Here is an 11,721-nt window from a genome sequence, read left to right as displayed (position 1 = left end):
ATGAGCTGCAGGCTTGAGTCGAAAGAACAAGAATGTACCAATAAGGGTCAAATGACACCCCTAATCAGCTTACAAACTCCGACCAGAGAGCCTTTGTTTTGATTCTTGTGCTATCGTGTACCCGTTCCTGCTGTCCACATGGGCTCCCTCCTTTGCCACCCTTAGAGAGGGACAAGCACCCACAGGTGGAATTGCTCTTGAAGTAATCCCAACAGCTCTCAATTTGCATCAAAAGAAGTCCCTTTTGAATTCAATACCTGTTAGCCACGAAACCTATTAAGAGTCTATTCAGAGGGCCAGATTTTACCTCTTGGTTCAGTCACACCTCCATCAAGAGCCTTCTGTGTCTTTCTTGTGGGCAGGACTTAAACTTTTGTTATTCTCTTGGCATTAATACACAGCCCTTTCTTGCTTTGCTGTGGTATTTTATTAATCCAATCACATCTAACTGGCTTGTTTTATTCTTTTCCAAACACACCTTAGAGCATTTTTTGTTTTGTTTTTTGTCTTTATTTATTTCTTTTTTTGCTTTTTTCAGAGGCCCAGGAACTTGATCCTAATTTCTAAAGAGGCAGTGAAGAGCCGGGCATAGTGACTCATGCCTGTAATCCCAGCACTTTAGGAGGCCGAGGCAGGCGGATTACCAGAGGTCAGGAGTTTGAGACCAGCCTGGCCAATGTGGTGAAACCCCTTTTCTACTAAAAATACAAAATTAGCCAGGCGTGGTGGTGGGCGCCTGTAATCCCAGCTACTCAGGGGGCTGAGGCAGGAGAATTGCTTGAACCTGGGAGGTGGAGGTTGCAGTGAGCCCACTCCAGTCTGGGCAACAAAGTGAGACTCTGTCTCAAAAAAAAAAAAAAAAAAGAGGCAGTGAAGTTATTCTTATTTTCAAGTGAGAAGAGAAGGTCATAGAAATGCAAAGCAATAATTCATATATATATGAAATGTATATGTTATATAAACATATATATATATATATTTAGAGTAGGTCATCTTTTTTGTTGTTGTTGTTGTGATGGCAATATAGGTCCAGGTGATCCTTCTGCTAATATTCATTCCCCATTGTACTTTTAAGAGCTATAGACTTTTTTTTTCTTTTCTTTCTTTTTTTTTTTTTGAGACAGAGTCTTGCTCTGTTGCCCAGGCTGGAGTGCAGTGGTGTGATCTCTGCTCACTGCAACCTCCGCCTCCTGGGTTCAAGCCATTCTCCTGCCTCAGCCTCCCCAGTAGCTGGGATTCCAGGCACCCACCACCACACACAGCTAATTTTTGTGTTTTCAGTAGAGATGAAGTGTCACCATGTTGGCCAGGCTGGTCTTGAACTCCTGACCTCAGGTGATCCACCCACCTCAGCCTCCCAAAGTGCTGGGATTACAGGCTTTCTTTTTTTTCTTGATACAGGGTCTCACTCTGTTGCCCAGGCTTGAGTGCAGTGGCCCAATCACAGCTCACTGAAGCTTTGACCTGCCGGGCTCAGGGAATCCTTCCACTTTAGCCTCCCAAGTATCTGGGACTACAGGCACACACCACCACACCCAGCTAATTTTTACATTTTTAGTTTTTGTACAGATGGAGTCTCCCAGTGTTGCACAGGTTGGTCTCAAACTCCTGGCCTCAAATGATCTTCCCACCTTGGCTTCCCAAAGTGTTGGGATTACAGGCGTGAGCCACCACACCTGGCCAAGTTTTGTTTTTTAATCAGCTACACTTGAGTTATTTTTCTATTGACTGGAGGCCTTAGAGAGCAATGGCAGAAAAAGGCAGTGGGATGCCATGCCAGGGAAGGCAGGAAGGGAAGGCCAGTCTGACATTTCCTGGCCCTTGCAGCAGCAGGGGTTTTCTGGAAAGTGGGTAAGAGAAAGATGAAGCTTAGGTCTAGGTTAAAATTGTCACTTTCTCTCCAACTGGGAGAGTGTCGTTCATTGATGTTTCTTCAGCTGGGCTCAAAGAAGAGGTAGCAGGATGCATGATGAGGCATGATCCTACTTCTTTTCAGAAGTCACTGAATAACATATTTGCTAAAAGGAACATGCTTAGTCATAAATATCAGTGGAGCTGATTTCACACTACACCACCAATTCTAGAACTTCTGCACTGATGAGAAACTAGCTTGAATTGTCGTCACCCTGGGGGCAGGAAAGTGGGGGGGCGGGGGTAGGGAGGCGAGACTCCATGTCCTCTGGGTTTAAGAGGTTGGACTTTAGAGGATTACATGCTTACTGCTCATTTCACAGGCACATTTAAGGCCCGACTTAACCCCACACTTTCTATTATCGATCCTTCCCCCACCTCACTCCTTACCTACCAGGACCATATACTTAAGGCACTCTACTAGGGACAAAATTTAAAGATGTGCTAAAAAGTCTCAGTAATCAAATCATGCAAAATTTATTTTAATTGAAAATTTTTAAGTCAGTTTTTATGAGGTGACTTCTGAAAAGAAATGGGATCGTTTTCATTGTGCATCTTGCTACCTCCTCTTTGTGTTTTTTTTGTTTTTATTTTGTTTTGAAAAGATGCAGTCTTGGTGTGTCGCCCAGGCTAGAGTGCATGGAGTGCAGTGACGTGATCTCAGCTCACTGCAACCTCCACCTCCTGGATTCAACCGATTATGCTCCCTCAGCGTCCCAAGTAGCTGAGACTACAGGCATGCACCACCAAGCCCAGCTAATTTTTGTATTTTCAGTAGGGATGGAGTTTCACCATGTTGGCCAGGCTGGTCTCAAACTCCAGACCTGGAGTGATCCGCCCGCCTCGGCCTCCTAGAATGTTGGGATTACAGGTGTGAGCCACCGCCTGGCCGCTACCTCCTCTTTTTTTTTCTTTTCTTTTTTTTTTTTGAGACGGAGTCTTGCTCTGTCTCCCAGGCTGGAGTGCGGTGTGGCACCATCTCAGCTCACTGCAACCTCCGCCTCCCGGGTTCAAGCAATTCTCCTGCCTCAGCCTCCTGCGTAGCTGGGATTACAGGCACGCTCCACCACACCTGGCTAATTTTTGTATTTTTAGTAGGGACGGGGTTTCACCACGTCGGTCAGGCTGGTCTCGAACTCCTGACCTCGTGATTCGCCCGCCTCAGCCTCCCAAAATGTTGGGATTACAGGTGTGAGCCACCGCGCCCGGCCGCTACCTCCTTTTTGAGCCCAACTAAAGAAACATCAAGGATTGATACCCTCCCAGTTGAAGAGAAAGTGACAACTTTAACCCAAATCTCACCTTCCTCTTACTTTCTCTTTCCCATTTTCCAGCTGCCAAACTAAGGGCAGCTGCTGTCAGTTTTTGTAAATAAAGTTTCCAGGGCTGGGATTAGAGCGAGAGAAGAGAGGCAGGATTGTGAAAGGTCAGGAGTGGATACTCAATCAAAATTTTTTATATTTTGTTCATTACGGATTTTTTAAATTAATTTTGATTTTTAAAAATATTGCACTAAAATGTTTATGTTGATTATTGAGGTTTTTTTATTTTGTGAACCCATAAAATTTGCAACTGACAGTACCCTGTCCAGGTCCAGTAAAAATACCTAGGAGTCTACAAAAATCTACCCACGACTCACTGGACCTCAGGTACATATCCCCCCCCGCCCCCATGAAGTCTCCATAAAGTGTCCCAGTGAGTTTTAATGTTCTCTCCTGTCTTTCCATGCACGTGTATTAAGATGCATTGCCTTCTGATTAGTGTTTTCCACTTCGAACAGCGGGAATGCCTCGACCACGCCTGTCTTCAAATTTCTGCTCTAGTTAAGAAACGATCTCAGGCCGGGCACGGTGGCTCACGCCTGCAATCCCAGCACTTTGGGAGGCTGACGCGGGCGGATCACCTGAGGTCAGGAGTTCGAAAAGAGCCTGACCAACATGGTAAAACCCCGTCTCTACTAAAAATACAAAATCAGCCGGGTGTGGTGGCGTATGCCTGTAATCCCAGCTACTTGGGAGGCTGAGAAGGGAGAATCACTTGAACCTGGGAGGCAGAGGTTGCAGTGAGCCGAGATCGTCTCAAGAAAAAAAAAAAAAAGAAAAAAAAGAAACGATCTCTTCCCTTCTCAAAGTTATATACATTTCACTATTCGCCAACCACCTCCTCCACGCCGTCCAGAGCTGAGCTGACACGCAGCGAAGTCCTCTCAGTGGTCCCTCCGCACCTCAGCCCTGTGCTTGGCAGCGAGACGAGTGACAGGGCCGCCCCAGCATGGGTCTCCCGGGCCGCGGACCCGCCCCACGCCGTATCCAGCACGCTGTCCTCCCGCCCCATCTTTGTGCCGGCCATCGTGTGGTCGCGTCTGCGCGCTCCGCCCGGTCTGCCGGCGTGAGAAAGAGCTCGTGTCGTTCCCAAGTTCAGACCAGAGGGGACGGCGAAGCGCGAAAAAGTTCCCTGCGCCCAGTACGCAGGCGCAGCCGTGCTCCTGGGCTTCCCGGGCCTCGTCCCAGCTGGCGCGCCCGGCGCTCCTCCGCCAGCGGGCAGTTGGGGGCGCTGCAGGGAGGGCACCCGAGCGGGTTGGGGGCGCTCGGAAGGGTGGCTTGCAAGGTCCGGGTAGCTGCAGTCCCCGGAGTGGGGCGGAGAGGCGCGGCACCGCGCGGACGAGGATGGGGCGGGGGCGGGCGCAGCCCGAGGGTGCAGGCACGATAAGGCGGGTGACAGCCAGCGGGGAGGGGCGGGCGCCACCGCGTCCACGCCCTTTGCTCGGGGCCGGGCCGGGAGGGTCCTCGGGCTTTGCGCGCGCCTGGCCGGCGGGCTGAGGCGTACGGGTCGCACGCAGCGCCATGCGAGGCCCCCCTGCCTGGCCGCTGCGGCTGCTCGAGCCACCGAGCCCTGCCGAGCCAGGTCGGCTCCTGCCGGTAGCCTGCGTGTGGGCCGCGGCCAGCCGCGTTCCCGGGTCCCTATCGCCGTTCACTGGCCTGAGGCCGGCGCGGCTATGGGGCGCGGGGCCCGCGCTGCTCTGGGGCGTTGGAGCCGCGCGCCGCTGGAGGAGCGGCTGCCGGGGCGGGGGTCCGGGCGCCTCGCGGGGCGTCCTGGGCCTCGCGCGGCTCCTGGGGCTGTGGGCTCGCGGCCCCGGCAGCTGCAGGTGCGGGGCTTTTGCCGGGCCAGGCGCTCCTCGGCTCCCGCGCGCCCGGTTCCCGGGCGGTCCCGCAGCCGCTGCCTGGGCAGGGGACGAGGCCTGGCGGCGCGGGCCGGCGGCGCCTCCCGGGGACAAGGGGCGGCTGCGCCCCGCAGCGGCCGGACTCCCGGAGGCCCGGAAGCTCCTGGGGCTGGCGTACCCTGAGCGCCGGAGGCTGGCAGGTAGGGTCCTCCCCGGCCACTTCCCTCCGCCGGGCCTCTCCTTCTCCACACGCGGGGTCCCGGGGCGCCGAGAGGGACACGGCCGGGCCGCAGAGCGCGTGTCACCGCCGCCTCTCCTGGGCCACTCCTAACCCCGGAGGAGGGAGGGGATCGCTCACCTCAGAGTAGCGTTGTCAAGATTTCGCCTTAGCTGGGGACTCGTTTGCAGATTTTACACTTGTTTTCTTGTTGACACACGTTATATATGTCATTATTGGAATCTTTGGGTCTGTTCCACCACCAACTTAGTGGGAGCATCTGTTTTGGCTTAGGCAGCAAAATGAGCTGGAGGTTTTTCCTTGGAAAAAAAAATTCTAGCCAAAAATATGCCTATTTTGTTATTAGGCGTTTATACTTTTTTTTTTTAACCAAAAACACATTATTTGCTTCAAGCGAGTCTGTCAAGCAGTCACCAATGCTTTCACAGCGGAAAGCAAAACTTTCAGACTTGTCTCTTGTGCAGGAAGTTACAGCACTGTGTTCAACAGGCCACACCAGTGATCTGTTCAGTAATTGAGTAACTTTTTTAAAAGAAGCCAAAATGAATGTTTTTAGAAACAAAATTTAAATAGGACAGTTTTCTATAGCTCCTCATTTTTTAGCCATAATTGGAGGAGTGTTTAGATGCAAGGGCCTTGTAAGATCTAAAATTTTTTCGATTTCTCTAAATCTTCACTCCTTCTATAAACATCTGTTGAGCCCTCATTCTGGACTGGGCCCTGGGTTTACAGTGGCATGCACAAGGAAACATGGTCCTCACTTCTGCTGGGGCTTCTAGGTTAGTGGGGAGAAGCATCTATGAAATATTCGTATGTATAGAGGTAAACCTGCACCTGTGGGCTGTGGAAGGGGGCCTGTGGGGCCTGTGAGGTTGTCAGGTGCAACACCAGAAAAGCATTCTTTGCTGCAAATCCATTGCTTTAGAAAGGACCCTCCTGGGTAGTGATTTGGGATTTAGAGTAGGTTTGCACAGTGGAGGAGAGCAGTTAGGGTGGCGACTTTTCATCTACCAGTTGCTATGAAAGCTTAGGGGGCTGTTGATATCACTCGGGTGTAAAGAGAATTATTTCATTGTTCAGTTGGTTGAGTGTAGATTTTGTTGTAAAATATCTTTTTCTCTTTCCTCTTTTTAAAAACATTGGAGACTAGGAGCTCTCACTGGACTTTGAGCTGCTTGAGACGGGGACTGTGCGATTCATCTTTCTGTCTCTAGTTCTTAGCATGTGCACGGCACAGAGCAGGCGCTCAGAGTGCCTTCAGTGAAGGAATAAATGACCATACCACCAGGCACAGAGTGAGGCCTTTAGAAACCCTGAGCATCATCGGGTGCGCCCACCACTTCTGTATGTGACTCAAAGTAAGTGTAAGGAAATCCAGTTCTGTTTTGTTTCTGAAATACTAGATGTCAGGAAGGGTGTTTAGGTGTCAGGCTTTGGTGGCCTACACGTGCCCAGTCCTCTTATGCCATGACCATTGTTCCTGTGACCCCTCACTCTGTCCCCAGATATCCTGCCATGCTAGTATGTTTTGGTGACAGCCTTAAACAAGACGAGACTGCCTCCTTTTTTCTTTCTTCTTTTGTTTTTCTGGGATAGGGGTCTCACTGTGTTGCTGAGACTTGTGTTGAACTCCTCAGCTCAAGCAGCTCTGCCTCTACCTCCTGAGTAGTTGGGACTACAGGCATGTGCCACCACACCCAGCTCGTACCTTTTTTTTTTTTTTTTGAGATGGAGTTTTGCTCTTGTTGCCCAGGCTGGAGTGCAATGGCGTGATCTCACCTCACCGCAACCTCCGCCTCCCGGGTTCAAGCGATCTTCCTGCCTCAGCCTCCCAAGTAGCTGGGATTACAGGCATGTGCCATCATACCCGGCTAATTTTGTATTTTTGGAGACAGAGTTTCTCCATGTTGGTCAGGGTGGTCTCGAACTCCCGACCTCGGGTGATCTGCCCACCTTGGCCTTCCAAAGGTGCTGGGATTACAGGTGTGAGCCACTGCACCCGGCCTTCTTTTTATTTTAAGAACAGAATATATTTTGTTCCACCACATTGAGAAATTATGAATATATAATTTGAAGAAACAAGCCTAGGGTTGGCACACTATTTTTTTTTTTTTTTTTGCTTTTCAAACAGATAAATACATATTGTATGTTATGAGGATAAGGATATCTGATAAAAAGCCCTTATTTAGATGTATGATTTCCTGAGAAGTTATTATATATTAAAGCCAGTTAGGATTAAGAGGAAGTGGTGGTCATTGTTAATTTGTAATTAAAAAAAAATGTGTAATTTATCATTCTAAGAGCAGCCTGAGGTGTTGGCACATCTCTTTGAAATGCTGGAGGTAAAGAGCAATTGCGTGTGTGTATTTTCTAATCAAAACACTAAAAAAGCTGAGCTGAAAAGGAATTCCAATGTTAATTTGTTAATTTTTAGAAAAATACAAAAATCTTTTTTCAAAAATGCAGCTTTATATTTTAATAATAATACCTCCATCTGTCTCAGCATTTTGCTGGGTATGCCTCCTAAACTGTGTGAACAGAAAACTTTGATTGCATCAGAAACTTTAAAAACACAGTCTACCATGAAATATGTACAGACGTGTGCTGAAAGCAGCTTTAGCATAACTGTGTTACATTCCTCTTCTAAAGGAAGGCCTAAGCCGCCCCTTTGGGGAGGAATTCGCAGCTGTCTTCATACAGATGTAAGGTCCCTTTTCACTGATAATTCTCCATCGTATCACTTTGGCCAGAAGGACTCTTAAAAGATGCAGGTGCTTGAGGAGGAGCAGGGTGTGGATTGATGGGATAAGCGACACTTCATCAGAACCGTCTGGCTGTGCCTGGCAGATAGATGAGGCTCTGACCTGAGTGAGTTAGGGGCAGGGTTTTAGGAGCAAATGTGGGCCCCTACAGTACTGTGAGATTAGGGCAAAGCTGCCTCCTGGAGGTTTTTTGTGTGGGGGGCTTCGGCGGGGTGGGCAGCATGCCTTCATTAAACTGTGGACTGCACACATGTATCCCCTCCGCTGGGGCATGTTCAGTTGGTGCCTGTGTGGAGGACTCAGGAGGGCTCCTCTCACTGCAGTTACTGATAAGGGGCTGGTGTGTGGTTTGAGGGCAGGACTGCTCTGAGAACCTGAAGCCTGCTGGCAGCTTTTGCTGAGTTTGTAGTTGCATTTTATGAAGATGGGCCGTGAGTGACCACAGTGAATATAGTGACAAAAGCAGTGGGTATGGTGGGCAAGGAGGCCAGAGTAGCTACTTCCTGAAGCCCAGTGAGGATGGAGATCCCGCAGGGACAGTGCCCTGTGGGGGCTGGGATGGATGAACCTTTGAAATCGGAACTGCCCCCGAAAGCCAGGGATGTGCGTGTGCTACAGAAATACATTGTTTCAGCGAAACTGAGCATTCTGTAGCTGTGCTGTCACATCAGATTCCAGAAGGACAGTAGAGAAAAAATGTAAAATATCTTACTAATTTTTTATGTTGATCATGTGTGGATAATATTTTGGATATATTGGGTCAAGTAAAATGTTATTAAAATTAATTTTACGTATTCCTTTTTATAATGTGGCAACTAGAGAAGTTTAAATTACCTAGGTGGCTCCCATCGTATGTCTGTTAGAGTCCATGGCGAACCCTCCTGTGGTTCATGGGACAGGTACCCCTAACTGTTTTATTTTAATTTTGTCTTTGGGATACTCCTAACTCTAGAGCATGCTAATAGCATGGACAGAGACAGTCTGATCTTGCACCAGACACATGGGGGCTCAGATCTTTCTTCTCCAGATTTCCAGAACCTGGAGTCCCTGGCTTCTTCCTCTACTCCCTTCTCATCTGTCAGCCGCTCATGTCCTCACTCATTCTCTACCCAGCGCAGATGCCGAGTCTCTTCACTCAGCCTCCATCTCCCCCACACCCTCAACTCCTGTGTTCTCCATCACACCCACCTGCATCCGTGGAAATGTGTCCCAGACTCCAGCAAACCAAACATGTCTAAAAACCAAAGTTACCTTTCTCCGCAAAGCATCTTTCCTCTTCTGTCTCTTGGTTCAGTGAGAGAGACTGCAGTGCGAACCTCTTGGCCTTGGCCAGAGACATGGGTTGTTCTTATAATGGTAGTAATAAAGATAATAGTTAATATTTCTTGTGTACTCAGCCCTGGGCATTGTACCAGATGCTTTGAATATGTGTGTAGTTTACTCATAATTCTGTGAGGGAGGGATTGTTTCTATTGCCATTTTACAAATGAGGAAACTGGGCACAGAGAGATGGAGTGACTTATGCAAGGTCAAACAGCTAGATGGCAGAGCTTAAAAGGAGAACTTAAGATAACGAATGCCTAACCTAGGAGGGCCGGTTCTGAGGTTGAGTTCGTCAGGGTTCCGACCCAATGCTGACCAACTCAACCTCAAAACGGCCCTCCTAGGTTAGGCATTCCTCATCCTAAATCCTCCCTTTAACCCTCATCTTATCCTCATTTTTCAGAGAGGAAAAATGCTCACATCCAACCAGTCATCACGTCCTAGTTCTTAAAAATATCTGTAGTCCTATACTCTGCCCTTTATCCCTCTGTCCCCAGCCTACTTCGCCCTAAGTTTGCTTCTCACCTAGGGCACTAGAACAGTGCTCTGTCCGCTGCTCCTTTCGCTCTGTAGCCAGAGTGGATCATTTAAAAATGCAAATCTGGCTGGGTGCGGTGGCTCACGCCTGTAATCCCAGTACTTTGGGAGGCTGAGGCGGGCGGATCACCTGAGGTCGGCAGTTCAAGACCAGCCTGACCAACATGGAGAAACCTCATCTCTACTAAAAATACAAAATTAGCCAGGCATAGTGGCGCATGCCTGTAATCCCAGCCACTCGGGAGGCTGAGGCGGGAGAATCGCTTGAACCTGGGAGGTGGAGGTTGCAGTGAGCTGAGATTGCGCCATTGCACTGGGCAACAAGAGGGAAACTCTATCTCAAAAAAAAAAAGCAAATCTGGCTGGATCATTCCCCAGTGTAAAGCCCTTTTAGGCCGACCTTGCCACAAAATCCTTCTGTTCTATAATCTAGAGGCTTCATTTCATTTCTCAGTTCTCCTTCCTGTGCACCCATGAGGTCTCTGCCCCTGCTCCATCCTGCCAGGCTTTCTGCTCCCTTCCCTGATTCCAAGGTGAGGCCTGTGCTTCCTCTTCCTCTGCTTGGGATGTGGGAAGATGCCAAAGACAGGCTTTGTCGCAGAATGTGGTTCTGTGATGTGTAAATTGGGAGACCTTGCGTAGGCTCCCTCTCTCTGTGTTCGAGATTCCTCTCTGAAAAACGAGGATAAGATGAGGGTGAAAGGGAGGATTTAAGATGATGGATGCCAGATCCTTCAGATAATGGTGAGGACTCTGAAGTGCTGCCTTTGAGTCCTTGAATGACAGTGGGGATTGCTGTACCTGCCTGATATAACCAGATGGGTGCCCTGTTCAGCAGTGGGCAGGTGGTAGGCACAGTGTACAGCTTCCTCCAACCACCCCCAACCTCTTCTATCCAGCGCTGTTGTCCAGCAATCTGCAATTCAGATTTTCCTTCCCCTTTCTTTTGAAGGATATTTGTTTCCATCTTTGCTGCAATTCAGTAGAATGAGGTAACAAAGATACTTGAAGGTATCTGTCAAGAAATAGATAATGGGAGAAGTTGCTGGGGCCGCATCAGGCAAGGGTGGGGGCAAGCAAGAGACTTAACTATGGAGAAAAGGTGTGGGAGAATTTCAGAATTGCAGTATGCTCAGTTGTGTCCAGGGCTTGTGGTGGAATCTGAAATGATGTTTATGGAGCAAGTCTAAAGTATTCATTAATATCAGAAGACAGTGATATGTAGTCAGATCTTGATTAACAAGAATCCAGTTAACTAAAAGCCAAAAAATATTTTACTTTTCTTACATTCAAATTGGACAAAGAAGCAAATGACAATAAAACAAGCTGATAATTTTTAAATGATTATTAAAAAGTAAAAGTGTGGGGGGATATCCTGAAATTAATTTGGATTCAGCTAAATTACTTCCTCTTTGTAATCAGCATTATTACTATGTGAGAACAAGACTCAGAATCATAATTAGGGGGCATTTCATTCATGTCATATGGATTCGTATTGTAGAATCATAACTGATTTAGAAAACTAGAGGAGGAGGGAAGAGGTGGACCTTTATATAGCAGGTCACATACACTGTGCTTTCGGAATTATTCACTGAGGCGAAAGAACAGAGATTAGCTACTGATGAAGGACAAAAAGAATTTTCTGCTGAATCCTGAATTTGCCAGGATGACTCTTTCTGGAGCTGCCAGTTCATCGAGGCTGAGGTACTCGGAACCTCAAGTTAGACACACTCCCTGTCCTTTGGGCCTTCAAGCCCCTTTGGGCACTGTTGTAAGAAGCATGGTGCTTT

The 11,721-nt window shown here is 48.4% G+C and overlaps 1 protein-coding gene across 4 annotated transcripts in view, besides 3 other annotated features; it reads left to right on the top strand.

Annotated features, from left to right (window-relative positions):
* Window positions 3,921-4,110: an enhancer, noted in NCBI's record as "active region_2704". NCBI's record gives its function as "activates an Ori minimal core promoter by ATAC-STARR-seq in GM12878 lymphoblastoid cells {active_cell/tissue: GM12878}" and the evidence as "EXISTENCE:reporter gene assay evidence [ECO:0000049][PMID:35858748]".
* Window positions 4,281-4,980: a silencer, noted in NCBI's record as "silent region_1933". NCBI's record gives its function as "represses an Ori minimal core promoter by ATAC-STARR-seq in GM12878 lymphoblastoid cells {active_cell/tissue: GM12878}" and the evidence as "EXISTENCE:reporter gene assay evidence [ECO:0000049][PMID:35858748]".
* ABCB10 (ATP binding cassette subfamily B member 10) overlaps window positions 4,700-11,721 on the top strand; it is a 42,126-nt gene continuing 35,104 nt past the window's right edge. For 2 of the 4 annotated variants that reach the window (NM_012089.3, XM_047416590.1), the window contains exon 1: window positions 4,700-5,271. In NM_012089.3, the coding sequence (NP_036221.2) occupies window positions 4,755-5,271 (517 nt within the window). In that variant the 5' untranslated portion in view covers window positions 4,700-4,754. Of the gene's footprint in view, window positions 5,272-5,344; window positions 6,668-11,721 lie in introns of those variants that run through there. The other 2 variants (XM_011544135.4, XM_047416589.1) reach the window with 1 other exon arrangement.
* Window positions 5,041-5,490: a silencer, noted in NCBI's record as "silent region_1932". NCBI's record gives its function as "represses an Ori minimal core promoter by ATAC-STARR-seq in GM12878 lymphoblastoid cells {active_cell/tissue: GM12878}" and the evidence as "EXISTENCE:reporter gene assay evidence [ECO:0000049][PMID:35858748]".

This window comes from Homo sapiens, chromosome 1 (genome assembly GCF_000001405.40).
Source record: "Homo sapiens chromosome 1, GRCh38.p14 Primary Assembly".
In the NCBI taxonomy this organism is placed as follows: domain Eukaryota; kingdom Metazoa; phylum Chordata; class Mammalia; order Primates; family Hominidae; genus Homo; species Homo sapiens.
Note: the sequence above shows the minus strand (reverse complement) of the source record. Positions and strands in the feature narration are given on the sequence as shown.